At 36.5% G+C, this 24,643-nt stretch overlaps 1 protein-coding gene across 15 annotated transcripts in view, besides 1 other annotated feature; it reads left to right on the top strand.

Annotated features, from left to right (window-relative positions):
* MECOM (MDS1 and EVI1 complex locus) overlaps positions 1 to 24,643 on the top strand; it is a 580,206-nt gene that overhangs the window by 423,306 nt on the left and 132,257 nt on the right. The window lies entirely within an intron of this gene.
* Positions 7,252 to 7,546: an enhancer, noted in NCBI's record as "tiled region #14107; HepG2 Activating non-DNase unmatched - State 24:Quies, and K562 Activating non-DNase unmatched - State 6:EnhF". NCBI's record gives its function as "activates a minimal TATA promoter and a strong SV40 promoter by Sharpr-MPRA in HepG2 and K562 cells {active_cell/tissue: HepG2 | K562}" and the evidence as "EXISTENCE:reporter gene assay evidence [ECO:0000049][PMID:27701403]".

Raw genomic sequence — 24,643 nt, 5'->3', positions numbered from 1 at the left:
TCTATAAAAAGTTCCATCAAATGAATTTTGGTTTAGGCATGAAGATTTAGGGTGGGGGTTGGGGAATGAGGCTGAAACCCAGCTAGAGGTCATTTCTTCCTCATCTATGCTGGAACAGCTCAGAGTTCAGGGGATTCATACTCTTTTGACTTTAATTGCTCTGGGGCCACTGAGGCAAAGCAATGGTGCTGTATTTGTCTGGGGGTCAAAGAAGCAATCACAAAGGTCTTCAGAATATTTTCAAACATTTGGGGGAGATAGATGGTATTCAGACATTCTATAATCATAAAACCAGTTTCTAGATAGTTGTCGAATTTCCTAAACTACACTTGCTGAAGTTTATTTGGTTATTGAAACATTTAGCTTAACCAGTCATGTTCTTTCTACTTTATGAAAATGTAGACAGGAAATTATCAGCAAATTGCTCGTTTAGAATTAAAGACAGGAAATGAACTTCAGCAGTTGAATTCTTGTAGTAAAAAGCTTCTACAACTAAAGCATAAGTAAAGCCAGCAAACCTTTTATTTTTAAGTCTGGGCTTTGTTATATCAACACAATGGAATTAGGTACTCTGTCCTATTTCGCCTCAAAGTTTCCATATTGCTTTTTACAGCATCTACAACTGTTTCTGTTACTAATTTCCTTGTAATTTTTAAAATGTAACTGAGGTTTCTATTCTTTACTTATTTAGAAAAAAATACAATTTCTTGGATTACATTAATAGATTAATGTAGGATATGACACAGAAATGGTAAGCTTGCTAGTTTATTTATTAGGACACCCCCCAAAATAAATATCTTTTTAAGTTCTCATATTATTTTCATCTGGAAGTCTAGAACTTTTTATTTGAATCTCAATTATAATATATTTTAACTTATATTTCTAAATAGTTAATAGGTTTCCCTTGATGTGAACTTTTCAAGCCATTTCTTTTTGATAGCTATTACTTAGATTTTATTCTTAATATATTATATTGTTAGTATGTCCAATATATCAGTGGTATCTACAAAATAATTCCTGTATTTAATTTTCTTTTATATTTTTGTTGCCATTTTTATTTCTCCATATATTTCAAATACTCTAATATTCTTTAAAGTTCTCCTTATTGGTATTACATTATTTAAATAAACCACAAGCATAATTCTCCTCCAACAAAATGATTTGTACCATATCTGACTATTTTGATTACCTTTAAGAAAAAAGGATTAAACAAGAAAGAACCTCAAGCTTTAGCCAAACTGAACAATTTACTCAACTTTGCTTGAGGACGTCAGAAAATTAGGGTTTTGTGATTAATTTAAAATTTACTTTTATAGCAGTTCACATGTAACATATCTTTAAGTATTTTGGAACCCATAAAAAGCAAGAATTATTCTGCATTTCAAAAAATATATAGTGTTAATCTATTATTATCGATTCTCATTATGATGAAGATGTGATACATTCAGGTAAGATTTAAATAAGTATGAGACATTCTAGGTTTATTGGTATTAGCATTTTATAGGATTAATCATAATACATATTTTGTGTAAGTTAGTTTATAATCTTTTGTTAACTGACTAAATAGTGGATGTATATATTCATAGTGGTTTTTCTACCACCATTTTGAAAGTGAAAACTCACTTTTAATTTAATATTCAAACTGAAATTTCCTTAGTTGAATTCTATAAGAGATCTTAAGAGAAAGTGGACTTTCTAATCAGATTTGTTTATCTGAATCAGCTTTATGCCTTATGCAAACTTTTATAAGAGAGTCCAGGGGATATTTTAGCTAAACCTTTGGAAGATATTGCCTCCAAATTGTTTTATTTAGTAATAATTTTATTCAATGGTTTGTTCGTGGGGTTTTTTTGGTTTGGTTTTATGGTTCCTGTTTGAGTCTTCCTTACATTAATCTGAAGGGCTTGTAAATTTTAGCTTGCCTATGCCTAAGAGTAAAATTGCTGTGGTCATTTCAGGTAGCAAAACATCAAACTTGATGCTCTCTCATGTTTCAGTAACTCTTCGCATGTTCCTGTGAATTTAAACCAGTTTCCTAGTATATGAGTTCATACATCTACTGAAAGAAACATGACTATATTCAAATTAGCATGAGGTTTGACTTAAATCATGCTACAGCTGGCATTTGTGGGCTAATTATCAACATTTGTTAATCTGAGAGTTTTTGAGGATGTCTTTGATTTTGTCAGAAAAAATAATTTCTTTTTTCTTTTTTCTTTTTTTTTTTTTTTTGAGATGGAGTCTAGCTCCATCACCCAGGCTGGAGTGCAGTGGCATGATCTCAGCTCACTCCAACCTTTGCCCCCTGGGTTCAAGCGATTCTCCTGCCTCAGCCTCCAGACTAGCTGGAATTACAGGCACCTACCACCACACCCAGCTAATTTTTGTAGTTTTAGTAGAGATGGAGTTTCACCATGCTGGCCAGGCTGGTCTTGAACTCCTTACCTCGTGATCCACCTGCCTGGACTTCCCAAATTGCTGGGATTACAGGTGTGAGCCAACCTGCCTGCACCAAAAATAATTTCTTAATAGTAAAGAGTAAGAAAATTTGTGAAGTTAAGTACCAATATAGAAAAATCCAGGATAAATTTTAAATGGTTAAATAGTATGGGACTTCTAAAAAATGGGTGAACTATATAACTTTAAAGTTAGCTAGTATATTTACTTTAGATTTTTGCTCTGGTGTTCAGGTATGCAGTGATTTTTGGGAAGCATAGTCATTCTTTTATTCAGTCAACAAATATGTTCATTTAACAACAGTAAGTGCCACATTTTTTTTTTTTTTTTTTTTTTTTTGTGATGGAGACATTGCAGTTAGCACAGCAGAAATATGTGTCGCCCTCATGAAGCATGCATTCTAGTAGGGAGGGACAGCACATCAATAAAGGAAGATTATTTCATACGGGGACAAGTTCTATAAAAATAATAAAACTGTAGTGGAGAATGAGTGACTAAGGGTGGTCAGTTAGCTCTTAAAATAACAATTTTATATTGAATACTATAGTGAGTTACACAATCTTTATCTGAGTGAAATCCTTTGGTACTTATTCAGACAAGAGTTCTGACTCTCATGCTTGAGGATAAGATTTTACATTTCAGTATTACATTGAAGATGTTTCATTTTTAACCAGACTAACTTAGTATATTGTTATTTTTAATGTGACCAAAGAAATATTTTCATAGAAGCTAATGCTGAGTCTTTTGATAATTTGCCGTATCTTAGTCAATCCCAAAAAATTTATTTTCTACTATTTACATATTATCCTAGTGGATATTACATTACTTACTGAAGCCTTTGGTTCTATGTTTCATCTACTCAGACTTAATTCAGGAAGAGCTTCATCCAGATGTTTTGTTTATTTGTTTCTCGATTACATGTATGAGATTTCAGAATTTATGAGATCATAGGTCAAGTGAAAGGTCACAGTTGAGAGGTCAAGTAAGAAGCTAAAATTTGTGAAACCAAAGAAATGACAGGACAGTGCCAAATGAAAGGTCAAAAGTCAAGTGACAGACTCAGTACAGATGAAAGCAAGTGGTGAGTTTGTTGAATGTCTGAGCACGTTGAAGTGTCTCAATAGTCATGCACACAAAGTCAAAGGTTCTTAACCTTGGAATTCACAATTAATAATAACGTGCCACTTGTTATTGTATAAATATATGTTACTTATTCACAGAGAAAAGCATCTATTACATACAGTCAAAGAGTCTTTTCATTCATTGATTATCATTAATCAGGGTGACCCTTTTTTGATGACGGCTCTTCGAGGTGTATACAAAACATCCAAATTTGGGAAATCCTAACTAGGCTTTTCTTTTTGTCAGATGCATGAAATATACACAATATACACATGGCAGATCATGTGAGGTGTTAAAAACTTACTTAAAAATTAGAGAATAGATTTTTTCTCTTACAGACTTCACATTGATACCCTATCTGGTTTTATGTCTCCCCTTATTCATTTATGTATTCATTTACTCATGTTTAGCAAATATTAATTAAAAACCACGTCATTTTTAGTTACTTCTATTGCAACACTCGAAGAGAAAGTTTACTTATGAGAAAGAGTTGCTTTTTGAAATATCATGGTGGGGGCATCCTTTCCAAGTTTTATGTGCTGGATAGTACAGATGCTTCTCCACTTAAGATGGGTTTATGTTCCAATAAGCCCTTTATAAGTTGAAAGCATAAATAAAAAATGCATTTACTGCACCAAACCTACTGAATATCCTAGCTTAGCCTAACCTACCTTAAATGTGCTCAGGACACTTACATTTGCCTGCAGTTGGACAAAATCATCTGGCAACACAGTACACTATAGACCATCAGTGCCCTTGTGATCATGTGGCTGACTGGAGGCTGTGGCTGGCTGGTGCTGCCCTGTACCACATATAGCTAGCCCAGCAAAAGATCAGAATTCAAAAAAATCCAGTTTCTACTGAATGCGTGTCTTTCTGGACCATTATAAAGTAAAAAAAAAGGTTGTAAGTTGAATCATATAAGTCAAGGAGCGTCTGTCCCTTTTTTTTTTTTTTTAAGCAAAATGGTTTGATTCCAGGACCTATGATTTGGGAGATAGTAATTATTTGTCATTTGGGGAACTAAGAGAATGAAAACATAAGCGATCCTTGTTTTACATAAATATGATATTATTGCTATTATGTTATCTTTTTTGTGTGTGCGAAGAAAATTACTTTTTCCTCTGCCCTAGTAACAGAGAAACAGGGAAGTCTGTAGTTCTAATTTAGATATGTTTTCATTTATCCATAGAGTCTATCACTTTAATTTTAAAGAATAAGAAATATCATTTATTTGGTTATTTTTCATTCCTCAAAAATTTTACTTTTTTATTATTTATTCCTCCTTTTTTATTTTTCAGGAATAGTAAACACGTTTTCATATGTGAGAGGTGTGTGTGTGTATGCATGTGCATTTGTCATTAACAATAAATGGTTCTTTGGGACTTAGGGACATTTTGTCAGTGATTTGCTTTATGGATCATACAAAGTGACCATTCTTCAAAAGCCAAGCATTTAAAGGAAGTCTCTTTCCATATTCTAGAAATAAACAGCAACATTTCATGACAAACTAAAAAAAAATGAATGATAGGTTAGGGATCTCCAGCTCTAAAAAGAGGAATTCAACAAAAGAGAATTTGCTTTTATGTAGAGTCCTGTGCTTTTTTTCTCATAGAGCACATTAGAATGGTTTATTTACAAGTAAAAATCACATTGATGATAATAGAAGTCAGTGGCAAGTCAATAAGAGTTTAGTCTCTACCAAACTATAAAATTGGACTTTTAAATCATAGCGTAAGCACTGTCGTTGTCCAAAAGAAGTGTTTATTTTTCCTAAGTTTTGCCTTTCATATCACGCCCATAAATTTTTTCAAATATATACTTTGAAAAGCTAAGGGCAAGCCCTGAAGGGTGAAATATTGCAAACCAATTAAAAACAACTGAAGTGAGATTCTAAAATACAGGAGTTTTCCAACTCATGAACAATATTTAGAGAGCTGGTTAATTTTAATTCCTCTGGGAACCATAAGTCTGGGCATTAATAGGCTTAGAGTGATAAAAACAGCAATATACTATGCACATATAGATGGTATTGTCAAAAAAAGAAGCAATTAGTGGCAAAGAAAGCATAAGTATGTACACATATGGTGAGCAGGTTGACATGTAAAATATATGGCCAGGAATAACAGCCAATGACAAAAGAGAAGTGGAAGCTGGGCTACTGTTTTAACTTACACAATAGCAAATAAATGATTTGCACACAAACACATCACTCTAGCCATCTCAAATTATTGAAGGCTCTTTAGTAAGTTTACCAGATTTTTTTTAAATCAGCTAAAAATCTATAATACATGGCTATTCCTTTCCTTTTTCTTTTTTCCCTTCTTTCTTTTTTCTTTTATTTCCCTTTTCTTCCCTTTTTTTAAATTGCTTTTATATGTCTCCCTTATCTCTAGTCTTCTTTCTCTTTCCATCATTTGCTCAATGACATAATTGACTAAATGGATGGTTCAATTCAATCTGCTTAACTTAAAAGTACTGAAGAATCTTGATAGAACCTAAAATACTGATTTTTTTCAATCAAAGAAAGCACCAGAGAAAGGGGCCAACTGACCCTTGCTATCGTTCTCAGTGGTCATCGCTTGAATGGCACAGAGTACCTCTGTGGGGGTGGGCAGAAACTCACCTTTTCAGCCTTTTCAGGTCTGTTTCTATTCTTTCCATGGTAGGAATTGTGTGTCCACTCCAAAAAATCTGTCTCATATTTCTCTTTGAATAAAATTATACCATAAACATTTCTATAAGAAGTTGACCTGAAGGGACACATTTACATTTCACTTTTTAAAAGTTATACAGCTGTCACTATAAAATGTAACAGGCATATTGTAACCGTATCTACTATGTTATAGACTTTGTGTCACTTTCAAGTAAAATAAGTGGTTATGGAAAGGTAATTCATTTAAAAAACTGATAAGCAGCAACATATATTTTACTCCTCCATAGTCAGGAAATTGGGAGACATGCACAGGTTCATTTCCAGCATGAAAATCATGTTACTGTGACGAATTTAGGTGCAGCATGCTCTTTACAATGGAAAGTACTGTAGTATGGAATAAACAGTAATAATTTTAGTAGTATTCTCCATCTTAACCCTGTTTATTTTGGCTATGGTTCTTTTTTGGGATGTCATCTTTCCCAAAACCCAATTGCTAAAAGCTGGTTTCACTGGCAGAGAAATAAAAAAGACAGTCGAGTGAGCTTTAGAGAGTGCTGCAATTAGTTGTGTGTGTATGGAACTGCTTATCTGCGCACAACTGGGTCTAAGGAAACTCTGCTTAGTATTTATTAGGAGTTGAATTTATATGAGAAAAAAACAGATGCTCAATTTTGCTACCTTTCCTTTTAAAGTTTAATGTGCTGTAAAATACAAGGATCTGTACAATTAAAAAGAAGGTGCTTTACCCTTTAACATGTGCCAAACGTCTTTCACCCCCATTTTACTGCATATACCTCCTGTTTCTACAAAGCACCCAAGAAGTAGTTCATCCCCAGATGACATTTCTGATACCGCATGACCCAGATTGCCACAATTTGGGTGAAATAGCCTGAAGAATTATCAAATAAGATAGCTAGGATGATGTTCTGTATTCTCTGGTGTTGGTACAGCACCATGTTTGGGACCCAGGTATTCTAAAGAGAATCCTTCAAAGGCAGTTCCAGGCTGCCCCACAATAATTGAAACATAGGAAAACCAGTATCAGACGTCACTATCTTTCTTTTGGATTTGAAAACAGGAAATGACTTGGCATTTCTAATCCTGACTGGGAGACAGGCCCTGACTCCACAATTATAGAGCATAATTACTCCAAGCTCGGTCTACGAAGAACCCCCAACTGCTTGTTGGGGACCTGCCAGGAAACTGACCTGGGTGAATGGTCTGGAAGAGAACATGAGGTGACAAGAGGCTGAGATGCCATTTTCAAGTAAATATACATGAAAAGGCTGCTTATAAAGGTAGAGGTTGTTAAAATCAGCTTGGCACTAGAGTTTAAGCTGAGAAAAACTGGCAACATACAGTGTTTGGGGCCTGAATCAAATATTCACTGAAGCTTTGAATGGTGTGGTTAAAAAGAATATTTTCAAGAATTTTACTTTAAAAAATTCTCATTTTCAAACTGCACCACAAGCATAGTTTACATGCTGCCTCTTAAAAATATGTGTATACATATATATATATATATATTTTACAAATGGTTACTGGATTCCTATGTAAAATGGGGCCATAGTGTCTTATACTCCCTCTGCAACTCATTTCTTCCTGTAAACATGTAACTCTTTGTTGGTGTTTCTGATGTTACTCTCTCCAAATTCACAGCTCGCTGTGATTCCTATGCCAGTTGCAATACATAAGTTCTTTGATGTGTCTCCCTTCCCTGCCTTTTTTTTTTCTTTTTTAAGATTAACCTTTCAGCTATTAAATTGATTCCTAACAAAAGCTTTTTTTGTGGTTTGCTTATATCATGCTTGGAAGAACAGCAAATAATAGGTAACAGTGGTGGAGCTGGAAATTTTTAAAAGACATGATTCTTGGGTCCAAGTCGTTTTTCACTTTTGTTGTAGAATGGCCTCAAAATGGTAATTTTTGGTATGATCTTTTAGAAAGCCCACCAGAGTTTAGAATATCTCAAAAAGGTGAATTTAAGAGAAACGTGAGAAATTCACAGAACCATAGGACTAAATGCCTTCTCACGTGATCAGAAAGGAGAAAAGGCTTTGGAAGTTCCTTAGAGTTTCTAGCTGTGCTGGCCAGTTATTCTGGCCTAATGCATTGGGGTGGGGCAATGGGTACCATTCATGATGGTGTTGGGCTGCTTAGAACTTGTACAAGAATGGCTTAAAGTGACATCATCCAGTCTCAAATGTTTGATGCTGAAAAGACTCAGGACTAACAGCTTAGAAGGTAAAAGCCCCTACTGCTAAACTTTGGGACACTGTCTTAACTGGACCAAGTATATAGGATCTGTAGATACATTTGCATATTACTTCATTAAACAATGAATTAGAAAATCTTGAGAACTTGCTTTAAGAAATAATATTCACTTTTTTTTTTTTTCTGGTCATGGGACCATGTATGATTTGTCTTCCACCTCCTGATATTCCCCTCACTCACTTCATGACTTCATCATACTGGTTTCTATTCTGTTCCTCAAAGATTTCTCTTCCTGGGGTGCTTCTCCCTAGCTTTTTGTGTGGAAGACTCATTCTCATCTTTTGGGTCTTGGCTCAAATATCATTTCCTCAGTAGGGACTTCTCTGACTACAGCTGTTTTCTCTGACTACAGCTGACTATAGCTGTCTGAAGTTTCCTACTTCTTTTTCTCCTAATTTCATCATCCTATTTTTTAAAAATGTCCTTCATCTCACTCACCATAGGTTGTAAGTAACTTGTTAGTTTATTTACATTTACTTGTTATGATGTGCCTCTCCCTTCTTGTCCTGCCAGAATATAAGTTCCTGAAAGTCAAGAAACTTGTGAGTCTTGTAGACTTCCTTATCCCCAGTATTTAGCCTGGTGTCTGGTGCAAGTAGGTGTTGAATAAATGTTTTATGGGTGAATGAATGCATGAATGAAAAAGTGAATAAATGAAAGAATGAACAACATGTTTACTTTATGCATGCACTACATTTGAGAAGCTTCCAATTTTATTCAATAGACACAACAAAAGGAAAAACAGAAAAAGACTACAATTGTAAGAAATTGGAGAGATCAAGACTATAGATGCAATAACATCCAGAATTGTCAAAGATTTTATTTCCACCAAGAATATTTTGGGAATCTTTTGTAGAGGGCATGCTTCTTATGATGAATGAAGGATGAGAGAAGAGAGAGTATTTAAACAAACGTCTATGAATGGCAAGTTAATAAAAGTGAAAGTTAAAAAGACAATATATTTTCTATTTGTGTTGTTATTTTGATAATAACAAAGTTATGATAAAGTGGGGGAACCATTGAAGATCTTATGTGAGGGGAATGGGGGCAAGATAAACAATTCTGTATGTTGCGGCAACTATTCTTCTCCATTGTGAAAGTGAACCAATGATTGACCTTCAAAATGACCATCTAGGAAATTTAAAAATTGAAGTAGGCTTGGGTAAAAGTCAGACCATGGGCCATGAAAGGTAGAAGCCTCTTTTCTGCTCTTCAGCAGAAATCTTGAGGCTAAACCTATTATTCCTACTGCTGTGGGTTCTTTCAGAGCAGAATTAAACCATTTCAGAAAATAGTTATATGTGTGAGTTGGAGTTCAGAGGAGAAAACTTACTTTAGAGCTTGATATTTAAAAGATACTTGTTATGCATCTTTTTAATAAATCAATAACAAAATCGAGAATTAAGTCATAATGAACTGGTATCTTGGAGATACATTCAAACTTCCATTAGGAAGACTGGCCTATTTATAAAATCTGCCCACTTTTAACCTGGTATCTCAAAGAAAAGCTAAGGTCAGCTGTATAAGTTGAAATCACTGCATTATTATAACATCAAGGAGGCAAGATGCTTCATATCCCATGTATCTCAAGAAAGAAAAAAGCTGGCTAAGTTGATAAAGGGAACTTGCAATCCAGAACCTTTTTTTTTTCTTTTTGGCACTAAAAGAGGAAATTTAGAGAAAAGCCAAGATGGTAGACAGAGGTCTCAAAGTTCTGGCCTGGAGGGAAATGAGGTGAACATAGGAGTTAGTGGCTTATGAGAAGAGGTAGCTGCCTCAAGACACCTGAGAAATTTTTTGTAAACATAGAAGTAAATCCAAAGAGAGTATTTGTATATTCAAGTATTATCCCTAAATAGCCCCCTGAAGTATTCTTCCTTGACATTGGAGTAAAGAAAGATAACTCAAAAATGCAATTAAGTCTGCTGTTTGGCATTTTTAATCTTCCTTTATTTGGAATTTTCTTTGTTTAGTTTTATTTTGGTTTAATCAACTTGATGTTGCAAGTATTTTTTACCCACATTATATTATGACATGAAAAAACATTGTAGCTGAAAGAATAGAGAAATAACCCATGAAACTGATTAGGAAATCATAGTCTCTTATATTAGTGTGTTTTAAAGCATAATAGCACCTGGTTGTAGAGGCTTCTGAAGTGCAGAGAATCTCACACTCATGAGTGCTATCTTGAGGGCATATTCACAGTAGCCACCTTATCCAAGCCACTCAGATACTTTGGGCTTAGCTTTTAAAAATGACCTGCAGGAGGGGACCAGGGCCATTGAAAGTAGTAGAAACAGAATTCACAACCAGAATCCAGACCTCATTCAGCTCAATGGGCCTCTTTCATCTCTAAGGACCCTCACCTAACTCCCTGGCTAGTGACCATCACTGACCCAGGATAGTAACCTCGGCCCCTCCATGGATTTAAGATTAAGCCTTGCCAGTCCCTGGAAACTCTGATCAGAAGACCAAGCAGCAAGTTTCATGACTGACCAGAGAATATAATTTCTCAGTCTCATAAGCCTTTGGGTTCAGAAATTTTAGTTGAGATGCTCTTGTGACTTATTTGGTGTCTGCTGGCTGCCTCTCCACTTGCCCGTTTGGTAGTCACCAACCATCTCACATGCGTGGATGGCACTTTCTAGCTAAACTTAATCACAGTCCCAACAGGCCTAAGGAATCTCTTCAGTTCCTGTATAAGGAGTTGGTAAGGTTGGCCTTTTCTTTACAGCAGAGCAGATTTTTATGGAACCCCTCTGGAAGATTTTACTGTAAGTAAACGGACCATTGACTAGAAAGCCAGAACCAGTGTTTCCAAGCCAGTGCAGTTAACACTCATGTATATGTGAGTGTGAAAAGCTTGGGCCATATAATCAGCATTATTTTATCAAGTGTTTTTGTGTTTTATTTTAAAAGCTTTGAATAACATCTTCACTGTGTCCATTGTTATCACACCCAGTGAGCCAAAATATCAGTGCATACAGTGAGCTCCAAGAGTGGCCCAATTTGGGATTTAAAAGGTGTGTTTGAGTTAAAAGCATAAAAAGCCTTAAACTTTTAAAACTGCAGACTATTGTATCCTTCTAACTCCAGAACAGCTCCGTCTAATGCTGTCCAACTTGGCAATAAAAACAAAATGAAGAAAGCCGAAACACTTTTAGACTCACACCAAGTATGCAGTATTTCAGCCTGACAGGATTATTCCTTGGCTGGAGTGACTTACGTTGGAAGGGGAAGTTTGCATGGAAATGCCTTTGAGGTTAATTGTAATGTCATTAATGTGATGTTATAATCACATCTCTGAATTTCCTTCATAAATTTCTTTTCTATTTTTATCCTGTTTTTATTTTTAATACACTACTTTCTTGAAAAAGTCTACTGTAGTCTCACGAAAATACAACTCCCCTTTTTTAAAGCCCCGTGAAAAACTGGTTTTTGCATAAACTGTAGTTTATAAAAGCATGGTCATCTGTCCTCTCCTGCTTTGCAGTTCCTTTTTAGTCTTTGATCGTAACATACGCCTGCATCATGAGTGACTTTAAATGATCAAATTCAAGTGGCAGCAGATATTGCACTGAGCTTAGAAAAAACAGGTCTTGTGCTAGTATTTCCATTATGACTGTTTAGTATAGTATTGCCCGGAATATGGCAAAACCACCAGAGATAATTCTTTTTAAGAAAATCATCTGTTTAGCCAAATCTGTGGTAGATTTGCGGCACAGACTACAGTAGAGGAGGAACTCAGTATAAACCACAGAAACTGCTCAGGAACGCTGCAAGGCTGTTGTAATCAGATTGCTTGTAGCTACTTGGGCTGTTGTTGGTTCCGTCTGTTGTGATGAGAGCACAGGGCTAGCTACTAGGTTCTCTGGCGTTCCCAGCATTGTCTGTTCTGTTGACCTTTGAATGTATTTGTCTCAATTGTTCTTGGGCTGTGGGAGAAAGACTTTCGGATGAGAAAACAATGGTTCCCATCAGGGACACTGCTCCATACCCACCCTTTGTTTTGGGCTCACTTTCACAGCAACAAAATCCCAAGTTTGGTCATGCTGCCCTCCTGCCTCCTATGTGCTGATTCCCACTTCTGAAAACACATCTTGAATGTGCCTCTTGAAATGTTGTCATTTTTCTAATCTTGTTTCCTTTTTAAAACAAGCATTTTATTCCATGATTTGCACAGTTCTGCATCTATATCAATGACTTTTCACCCATTCCCCCTTTCCAACGCATTTCTTGGGCAAAAGTTTGTGTCCAGCCTGCCATTCAGGAAAGGCAAAGGTTTAGCTCAAATGTGCTACTTTGTGGTAGATGGTTGGGGTCAAAGCCTGTTCATGAGATCTCTGTCCCCATAACCAGAAAACAAATCCCACTGATACCTACCAATCCTTATGATCTGATACAGAGAAAAGAAAATCTATACAGAATTCTCAGAAACATTTACTCTATAGGGCATTTAGCAAATAAATTTCTGGTGTAGGAAAAATAGGATATTATACCAAAATTACAACAGGTAGGAGACAGAATTTTAAAAGTAAGGATTATGATATTCAGAATTTATTTATATGTGTACCTGCTCTCTCTCTCTCTGGGTATATTTTATAATCAAAATATTATGAAGAAAGTATGTATTTTATTTTGCTTTTTCTCAGATGGTAAGATGTTTATATTTATTTTGTTGTTCTGTAAAAATGATCTAGTCCTTTTTCCCATTAGTGAGCTCTTGCTAATATTAGTACTGTGTACAATCTGGGCCTGCTCTCACCTTTCTCTAGAAATCCATCACCATGACTATTTTATAAAATAGTGAGTTTGACTAAATTGCCCGAAGATTCCTTTTTCACAAAAGGAAGCTGTGGTGTCCAGCCAATGACTTGCCTAAGGTCACACAATGAAAAAACTAAAGATGGGTGAAGTTAGACACCTCTTAAACATAGGGCAAGGATTTCCTTTTATAGCCTATGAACATCTACTCTCAAATCAAATGATTTCAGAGATTCTCCTGCCATTGCCCTGTATACAAAAAACAAAAGCAAAATTTTCTTCCATACATGGGAGAAATAGAACTGCTTTTAATGAAGTTCTGAGATTCAGCACAGTCAGTTAAATTCCTTCCAGTTGATAAGCACTTTATGTAAGACCTCTGTAAGTGAAACCTGAAGAACTCCTTTGATTCCCCTTTCCATTATTGATCATTGTTTATAATCTCTTGAACAAAGAGAATACATCTACATTTTATATAGATGTCTAAAGGGAAACAAATCTAGTTTTAATTCCGTGTTATGGTGTTGGTTTTAGGACCTTGGGCAAGTTGTCACTTGATTTTCTCATAAATAAAACGGGGAGAATAACTGTACTTCCTTCGCCCATAGTAAATATTTGATAAATATCATCTCCAGACCTAGAACCAATGTGGAGAAGTTCCAGAAAAGATGTATTGTTACAGTTTATGAAATTCATAATACGTAATTCACAAAGTTTAAATAGATAAAATACTTCATATACAGTTATTATAAATTCCTTTATTCATCTCTATAATAGTTAGAAAAACTTATTCTGAGGGACTATAGGTCCTGTGGAAACTCACACTCCACTTCTACTCTTATTCTTTTTTTATTCAGGTGATATTAGATATAATGAAGACTAACAGTAGTGTTCAAGGTTACCTTTAATGCATCCAGGGTTACCCATAATATTTATTTTACCTCTTTGCACCAGCATTAAAAAAGAAGTGTGAGGCAGGGGTGGTGAGAGAATACTTTGAAGAGAACAAGGAGATAAATGACCATCTAGGTTAGGCAAGATGGGGACGTGCTCAGAAATTATTTGTTAAGTTAAAGAATGTTAAAGAGACAATGGAAGTTTATGTAATAAAATAAGGAGTCCTTTGCTGATTTCTCTTCTTCTACCTCACAGATAGTTTTTGGGCCATTCTCTTTGTGGGTTGCTTATTTCCCGCACCAGTCTGTGGCCCTTAAAGCAAGGGTCTTGGCTGGGCATGGTGGCTCACGCCTGTAATCCCAGCACTTTGGGAGGCCGAGGCAGGCGGATCACGATGTCAGGATTTCGAGACCAGCCTGGTCAATATGGTGAAAGCCCCTATTTACTAAAAATACAAAAATTATCCAGGCGTGGTGGTGCATGCCTGTAGTCCCAGCTACGCAGGAGGCTGAGGCAGAAGAATCACTTGAACCCAGGAGGCACAGGTTGCGGTGAGCTGAGATCGCACCACTGCACTCCAGCCTGGACGACAGAGCAAGACAGTGTAAAAACAAACAAGCAAACAAATAAGGGTCTTAGGACGAGCTGCCTAATATTTCATCTTTGTCAGCAAGAAAAGAAAGTAGAATAGAATATCTTTGGGTATGGGCCCTGTTTTTGAATTTGGTGTAGGGTGTTTTGAGAGAAGATACAGCTAAGATCACCAGTCCTTGATAAGACAGGGTTTCTTTTCTCATATGTGCTTCAAAAGTCACAAATAATCATCCTGACTCTCCTTGGCCCACCTCAAACCACTCTATCCCCATTGGTTTGGATATGGTCAAGTCCAGACATGTCCCTCTAAGCAGCCAGGGCAGCAGAATCTCTACTTAACTAACATTAGTTCTTAATAGACTATGGGATATTGAACATAAAATCCGAATAGCTCTCCACTTGTATTTAGGATGCATTTAACATTTTTCTCATAGTGTCTATATTTTTATTATTACATAGTTAAGTAGATCTTATGCTAAAATTCACATAATGATACTAAATATATTCTCTATAAAACTCATTTTGGAGCCCTCTGGATCAATAAATTGGTTAGCATTATCAATATCATCTCTGCTTTGACATACCTGAAAATCACGTTTCTTTAAGTTAGGTAAATATTTAAGTATGAGAAAAATCTGACCAATGTATTTAGCAGACTTTGTGAATTTTTTTAAAAAAGATTGGTTTTGGAAAATACACACATACATTTTGCCAAGAACTTGCCCCCTAATGTTTAATCTTGTGGCTTTCAGGGGAAATCTAATTTGTATCCTTCGTTTATGCTCGACTCAACAGATTGTTGCACTGTTAGCCAAGTGCTGGATGGTCTTACAGCCCATGGGGCTTTTCAGGTTTCTTGATTCTCTACGGGCCCCCTTGCCTTGCTTCTCAGTCCCTGGTGGATAATGAATGCCATACATTTTAAACTCAGGCCAACTATTCAAAAATTAAGTCACACTACAAACAATGAGCTATCTCAGTATTTGTGAAAACTGGAGAATTATTTCTTTCCCTTCTTCCCATCCCCAATGGCCACTCAGTTTTTACTGTGAGGTTTACTGGGTAGCTGAAGATGATGACTGAAGGAAAGGATATTCCACTGAAGTGATAGACTCAGGATAGCACTGTACTTTTCTATATGTGGGTGACAGTGGCCTGGGAAAGTGTTGGGGCTGCGTTTTGAGAACCCTAGGAAGCCATGGCATCCCCCTCAAGCCATTCAAACACCAAAACAACTCATTTGGGTTTACGTTGTGTTGGATGACCACTGCAGCTTAATCAAGACTTCTTCTTGCCATTGCTTTGAATTTCCATCCACTTAGCCAGTATTGCATGCTCTATCACTGCCAGGCCTTTGTTCTTCCACAGATACTCCTTGGCCCCTTTAGAACACAGTAACAGTATTGTTGGTGATGAAGGGCAGATGGGAAGGAAGGCTTGAAATGGGCCCAGCAGGAGCTGACGTTCTCTATCTCCTCTCAGATTATTTTCTCTCTTACCCTCTAGAAAGCTCCCCATCATACTCCTTAGTATCGATACCACACCATATCCTAGATGAAAGGCACCCCCGTCAGTGGGGCATAGAAAAAACCTAGGGCACGGTAGTCAACTAGAGTATTCCAGTGGCTCAGAAAAAAATTCTGAAGCACTCTTCCTTTTCTTGTGAAGAGCTTTTGGGGTTTAATAATGGCAGGAGTTCCAGGTTGCTCTGCTTCTCTTGGCCAGGCACTTAACCTACAGGAGGTTCCACCTGAGGTCATGGGAGTCACTACTAGTGGCTTGGAACTTGAGGAAGAATAGAGGGGCTCACGGTCCAAATCAGAGGAGATGGAGTTTCTGACTTTCAGAGTAAAGCATGAATACCTTTTCCTATGTACATACTGTTAAATCAAGTGGTTGGATATTGTAGTACTATTACTATCAATAATAGAGTATTTGTTCTATTATAGTATAACTGTAATTCTTTTTACATTAAAGTAGAACTAGGACAAACTATACCATTTGTCACATTATTTCCCAGGGTTCTAACTCCAAGAAATGAGTTCTAATTTCCCAGCAATAAATACACAGTTGAACTTTATAACCTATCACATTTTTTAATTGGAAGTTACTTTATCTTCAAACCTCCTGTTAAAAATATAGGACTTTGAAATACTATGCAGCCATAAAAAAGGATGAGTTCATGTCCTTTGTAGGGACATGGATGAAGCTAGAAACCATCATTCTGAGCAAACTATCACAAGGACAGAAAACCAAACACCACATGTTCTCACTCATAGGTGGGAATTGAACAATGAGAACACTTGGACACAGGGTGGGGAACATCACACAATGGGGCCTGTTGTGGGGTGGGGGGAGGGGGGAGGGGGGAGGGATAGCATTAGGAGATATACCTAATGTAAATGACGAGTCAACGGGTGCAGCACACCAACATGGCACATGTATACATATGTAACAAACCTGCATGTTGTGCACATGTACCCTAGAACTTAACATATAGTAAAAAAAAAAATATAGGACTTTGAAAATGAAATTTGCCAGTATGAAAGCAGAGATACTTAGAGTCATTCTTATACCACAGAATTAGCGATTACTGTATCCAGTCTCACCATTTTATAGATGGGGAAACTGAGGTCCAGAATGGTTCTTCTGTGATCCCTTAGTATTTCCTCACTTTGCATTTTCTTTTAGAAAATGTGAAAAAAATCTAATTGTTCCATGAAAGAAGGCACCGTTCATTATTAATGGAATTTCCTTTTATTCAATTTTGCAGTGTCTGCAACAAGATTATGAAAATGATAATTTGATCTAGAAGTCTTTCCAGCTTCAGCAAGGTTACTTTGTGGAGTTGGAGATAAATGACCAGAAGAAAACTTCACAAAATTAGTGTTTACACTTAATCTGGCAATGAGCTATAATTTGATTGGTAAAAAATTCATTTGGTGTACCTCTGGCCCTTTGCTGCTGGATAATGAAAATTTATATCTGCGTTTCAGACATCTGGGGAGGGCCTGACAGCTTTGGGGCTGAATGAAAGATGATGTCACACTGACCCCTGTCAGCATTTCCTCATAGACTGGTTACCCAAAACCCAACAGCACTCACACTTTTTTTCCCCGCTGCCAGAGCAGACTCTCATTTTTATTTTGGAAAGTTAATGACACTGTAAATCTAATAGGCCATTTTAGTGCCATCATGTGGATATTAAAAAATCATGTGACCAGTCAGGGCACCATATGTGGGCTTCACTGTTGTCTAATGGCAGGAATAAGAGGCTGTAACAAGGTACTGAGGGCAGCCAGTGTTTGGAATTAATTTCGAAACCATAGCTACCTTTAAACTAATTCTGAATCTCTGCTAATGATTATTGTTTGCCATTTCAATTAAGTTTGCTTTAATTAGCTAGCTAATATCAGATTATGTTGGACCTCAGAAAATAATTTACCACTTATAAATTGATGAGTAACTCATATTCTGTGGCACAGCACTGACCCATAGAACTTTCTGTGACGATGGGAATGTTCTCTGTCTGTGTTCTCCAGTAAGGTAGCCTCTAGCCACATGTGGCTATTGAGCACTTGAAACATAGCTAGTGATCTACGGAAATGATAATTTTAAGTAATTAAAATTTAAATAGTGACATGATGGCGCAACTATAATGTAAGACTAGAATATCAGAAAACAACAACAAAAAAGCATTTCCTTCAGGTATCTAGTCTGCCTTTCATTGGTGCCATAGTGGAAAGGCCAAACTACCTGGTGACAGAGCTGAAGTCTGATTTACCTTTGTATCATCATAATGCCTTTTGGACAGGGTAAAAATATTTAGAAGCAAGTGATGCATAAACGAGTGAATGAAGTGGATACGTAGATAATGAATAAATGAATGCAAGCAATTTAAGTGATTTTTTTTCTATTTTACCAGTTCTTGCTGCCCTTTTCCTGAAGGACACGTCAGCCAAAAGTTGTGAGATTTGACAGCCAGATGAATTCTTAGTGATCACTTAGCCCAACCCATTCAAAACCAGACCAGAGTGACTTCCAGGAGCTGCCACTGGCTTTTTTTTTTTTTTTTAACATCTCTTTACGTCTCCAAAAGCTGTGCTCTTGAGTACAGCAAAAAGCCCATGGGTCCAAGGGGGCTAAAGGTAACTGGGCACACAATTCACACTCTTTCACAAAAGAAGGTGGGAAGGCAGGAAACAATTATTTTTGGATGCTAGGGTAATTGTGTAGCCAGATAGAAGTATGTAAAGGGAAATTGAAATAATTTCTGAGTTTACTCCAAAATGTTACCGAAGTATTTAAAAATAACCATTAATGACTGTTATCTAATGTTAGCCTCATAAAATTAGGACAAAGGTGATAGTTCTGGTGAAGAAGAAGATGATGATGATACTATTAGTTAACATTTGTTTACTGCATATTGTTTCAAAAATGATGCTAAATTCTATGTAAGGATTACTTTAGTTAATCTTTGCAACACTGCAAGATAGTTCCAGTATTTGCCCATTTTACAGATGAGAAAAAGAAGAGAGTGTAAGTAGCTTGCTTAAGGTTATGCAACCAATACAAGGCATAGATGGATTTTAAATCCAAACAGCCTGATTCTAGAATTACATCTTTAAACATTATTGTATAGAGTGCCTTTCCCTAATCTTCTTCTTCGATTTTCTTCCTACTTTCCTTCCTTCCTTTATTCATTGATTTAGCAAATGATTTTTAAGCCCCAACTATGCGCCGGATATTGTTCGAGCCTCAGGAAATACACTAGTCAACAAGACAGACAAAAATTCCTGCCCTTATGGTCTTTCTCTTCTACTGGTGAGAAAAGACAATAAAAAAGTTAAGAAAAAAGTGTAGCTTATTGGCAGGCACGGTGGCTTAAGCCTGTAATCCCAGCATTTTGGAAGACCCAGGTGGGTGGATCACCTGATGTCAGGAGTTTGAGACCAGCCTAGCCAACATGGAGAAATCCCGTCTCTACTAAAAATACAAAAATTAGCTGGGCGTGGTGGTGGGCACCTGTAATCCTAGCTACTTGGGGGGCTGGGGCAGGAGAATCGCTAGAACCTGGGAGGCGGAGGTTGCAGTGAGCCAAAATCGAGCTACTGCACTCCAGTCTGGGTGATAGAGGGAGACTCCATCTCAAAAAATAATAATAAAAATAAAATTAAATGCAAGAAAGATAAAATAAAGCAGGTAAGAGGAATATGAAGTGTTAGCAGGTGGGAGGAACAGGTAGAAATTTTAGGTAAGGGAGGTCTCACTGAAAAGGCAATATTTGAGAAAAGAAGCAAGTAAGTGTTCTTTTCTTTTCTTTTTGCTTGTTTTTGAGACAGAGTTTCACTCTGGCTGGACTAAACAGCTCACTGCAGGCAGCCTCTGCCTCCCAGGTGATCCTCTCACCTCAGCCTTCCCAGGTAGCTGTACTACCAGTGTGCACCACCATGCCTGGATAATTTTTTTGTATTTTTTTGGAGAGACAGGGTTTCATTGTATTACCCAGACTCATCTTGAACTCCTAAACTCAAGTGATCCACCTGCCTCAGCTTTCTTAAGTGTTGGGATTGCAGGCATGAGCCACCGTGCCCAGTCTTATTTTCTAACTATATAGTTAGAAAATGTATATTTATTTACTTATATTTATATTTGTTAAAATGTATATAATTGGAATATATTATATATTAGAATTATACATATTAGAATAATATATATATTAGATCCTTTAAAAAAACTTAATGAGATGGTTCCTAGGTTAGGAGGTAAACTTATAGTTAACTGTATTCTTGATAAAAAATTAGGATGATTTTATATATATATACACATGCTATTATTATATATAGCAAACTAATGTATATAATATATATATACCATTATATATATACACACACCTATATATGTAATTTAAATTTATGATGACAGTGGATTTGGGCATGCAAGTGTGACAGACTTTCTCTCACTCCTTCTACACCACACACCCACCCCTACATATGTAGCTACATGTGTGTGCTCAAATATATAGTGGTGTATATATAGCATCCTGATTTTTTGCCAAGAAGAAAGTTAGCTATAAGTTTACCTTCTAACCTAGGAATGATCTCATTAAGTTTTTGTTTTGTTCTGTTTTGTTTTTAAGACGGAGTCTCGCTCTGTCGCCCAGGCTGGAGTGCAGTGGCGCCATCTTGGCTCACTGCAAGCTCCGCCTCCCAGGTTCAGGCCATTCTCCTACCTCAGCCTCCCGAGTACCTGGGACTACAGGCGCCCACCACCACGCCTGGCTAATTTTTTTGTATTTTTAGTGGATACGCGGTTTCACCATGTTAGCCAGGATGGTCTGGATCTCCTGACCTCGTGATCCACCCTCCTCGGCCTCCCGAAGTGCTGGGATTACAGGCGTGAGCCACCGCGCCTGGCCTATTAAATTTTTTTTTAAAGGACCTAATATAGATTGATATTCAAGTTGAGCCAGAGCTATAAAAAGCTAAGTACCTCTGTCTATGAAATTATTTTCAACTAATTCCTTTGATTCTGTGATACTTCGATGTTTGCTGTTATAGCGAGATGAGGATAATGTGCTGAATTTTATAGTTGTTGCAAAAAGCCCACAGCAGCAACACTGGGGCCCCACAGACACACATCCAAGATCATGACATAGCTCAGGAGACAGCACACACACACACACGCAGCTATATACGTAGGGGTAGGTGTGTGGTGTAGAAGGAGGGGGAGAAAGAGAAAGTTCTCTGTCACATTTGCACGCCCAAATCCACTGTCATCACAAATTTAAATTGGATACGGTGCAACATTGTCTGTCAAAATAAAACTGTAAGAGTAAGTAAAGAGAGAACTTTTTAATTCCCTGAATGATTTTGGGCAAGCAGTAGTAGGCTTTTTGATGCCTAATACAGAATGATTAAGAAATAAAAGTTAACACTGATATGGACTGCATTCTGTAGTATGTGAACACAAAAAGGATACTTTCCTAATTGGATACAGTATTCAAAATTCCACAAGTTCTGAAGTCACTGTGTGAGACCACAGGTTACAGGCTTTTCTGAGAGACACTCTGCCTCCCCCTGCCTCACCCTGGATGCATAGCACTCCTTGATTTGTAAAATACTCATTCCAGTCAAAAGGGAAGTGTCCTTTTGTGATCCCTGGCATCACTTCCTGTTTTTCCTTGTAAACTTCCCACCCAAGCTGTGGCATTATTGGGATCATTGCCCGAAGTAACTTTCCATTACATTGACAAGTCAAGTGCATACATCTGATTTGAGTGTCATCCTTCCTCCAGATTTCAAAAATTCTACTGCAAATTAAACAACCCAGCTCTTGTGATCCCTGTTGAAAGTTTTATCTTCTTAAAGATCATTCTGAAAAATGAAATTTTTTCATGTCACACAATTTTGATTAATGGATCCTTTTTTTTTCCTGTAACTTTTCAGAATTTGTAGACTTCTTAAACCTAATTTATTTTAAAAGCACACAGTAAGATGTCTCTTCCCATTAAAATAAAAATATATTTCTCTTCTGGATTATCAACCTATAAGCTATATTGCTAAACTTTTAGCTTTACATGATTTATAGTAGTCAAATGATTACTGCCCTAAGCATTAATTTCACTATAGAGCTATTAAAATATTTAATTAGAGTCACTGATAATTTAGGATGTATAATAAAATTGTTGTCAAGGCCATGTTGTAAATTCTGATTATGTTTGTAGATGAGTGAGAAAAACTACCCTATGCTGAAATTTTTATAAATTTTGAAATTATGGGGATTATATATATATATATTACATATATATTTTATTTTGTAAAATAAAATATGTAAAATAAATATATATATAGTTTTTTGAGATGGAGTCTCGCTCTGTTGCCCAGGTTGGAGTGCAGTGGTGTGATCTCAGCTCACTGCAATCTCCACCTCCTGGGTTCAAGTGATTCTGCTGCCTCAGCCTCCCAAGTATCTGGGATTACAGGTACGTGCCACAGTGCCCAGCTAATGTTTGTATTTTTAGTGGCGACGGGGTTTTGCCATGTTAGCCAGGCTGGTCTCAAACTCCTGACCTCAGTGATCTGCCCGCCTTGGCCTCCCAAAGTTCTGGGATTACAGGTGTGAGCCACCGTGCTCGGCCTATTTATTTATTTTTAAACATTTCATGTATATAGTAGTGAGGTTATGTTAATTGTGCATAATTTACGAAAATGCTAAATATTTTGCTTTTTAAAAATCTTTCTGAACTTGAGCAGTGTTATCTTTAAGTACAATGTTCTAGTTTATTACAAACCCAAAATGTAATCCTATATCAGAATCTTTCCTTTGTGTTATATATTTTATTGTCTCCACAAAAATGTTTTATTAAAAAAAAAAGACTCCAAGAGTCTAGCTATAGTTCATGTATGCAGGCAAGAGGTGGGAATTCTCTGTGAATGTCAAATAGAAGTTAATACAAACCCATGTAGTCATGTTTACTCAGGTGCCAAAATCCAGATCATTCTGTTATGAGTTCATCTTCTAAATATATGGCTCTGGCTATCTGCGGATCATCCACCCTCCTGTTACCTACTTGTGCAAGGAAGTCAAAATGAACCCACAGAGATGGGGTATCTGTCGGTTGTTCTCTATGGTATCATACCTGTTTATTTGTGTGGCTAGTAGAGACTAAACTTCCTCAGTAGATTTTTATGACTTAAATTATAGGGTAATATATTTATTCTGTTTTAAGTAACTCCGTGTAAATGGTGGCCACGGCGATAGCTTAATGTGCGTTTTTGTTTTTGTTTTTGTTTTACAGATAAACACTGTCAACTTTTTATTGAGCTACCTACAGTATTTTTGCTATGCATATCTGTATATCTCTTTTGCAAAATTAAGATTGCATTTTCATAATTTTATAAACTATTTTTCTTACTTAACAATATATTGTGAAATTTCACAAGGCTTTCCCCCAATATTGTAAAGTGTTTTCATGAATATTATTTTAATGTACTAGATTGAAACATATAGAATTAGTAATATTTAATGTTTTTTAACCTATAGTGTACTTTTTTTTTTTTTTTACTAGAGAAGGTTTGTGTAAATTAGCAGTACATTTATTTCTTCTCATTTCAGAAATAGCAAAAATGTATGCAGGAAATGGGGGAAGCCAGAAGACCTTGCAACCTGGCAGCCAGTGGTCAGATGTCATTTCAGAGATTTGGGAAGGTTTCAACTATTGCTTTTAAGATACACCTATGCCTAAACACCACTAGAAATGACACAACTTATTTCTATCCCATAGGCTTGAAATAAGTAAGAGAGAGTTGCTATGAATTTGGTTAAAAGAGTAAACCTAGTGAGAAAAAAAGTAGTTTAGATGGTCGTCATTTTGACATCAAATGATGGCAACCAAATAAGGTTATTTTCACCATCATACCATCAGAAAAGAAAGATTCGGGATTTGGAAATCAATGAAAGCAGCCAGAAAACTTCCCTATTGTGCAACAAACAAGACGTGGAAACACTCGTGAGTTGACTCTACTCAGAGGTCCAGAAAAATAAAGGTTGACACTAAAATAACTTTGGCTTACATACGACTCATGGCAAATGCTAAATAATGAAAAAATATGCCTTTCAGGTCTAAAATTTTCTGGGTTGTGAGAAAACATGAAGCATAAATCATATCAAACTATTCCTGGCATTAGGCCTTCAGGATGCATTTGTTTGAAATCAAGGGCCAAATTGCCTGGAAGAGCGAAAACTGCTAGATGCCAGCTGAGGCGGAATGCCAGCCTTGGAACTGACACATCATTTCTGGAGAGATCCATATGCACGACCCTAGTTTGTCTTCAAAGTGGTTCCCTTGAATTGATTTTGTAAATTAACAATATTAGG

The sequence above is a fragment of the Homo sapiens genome, chromosome 3 (genome assembly GCF_000001405.40).
Source record: "Homo sapiens chromosome 3, GRCh38.p14 Primary Assembly".
Lineage (NCBI taxonomy): Eukaryota > Metazoa > Chordata > Mammalia > Primates > Hominidae > Homo > Homo sapiens.
The sequence above is the reverse complement of the archived record's forward strand: the minus strand, read 5'-3'. Positions and strand labels throughout refer to the sequence as shown.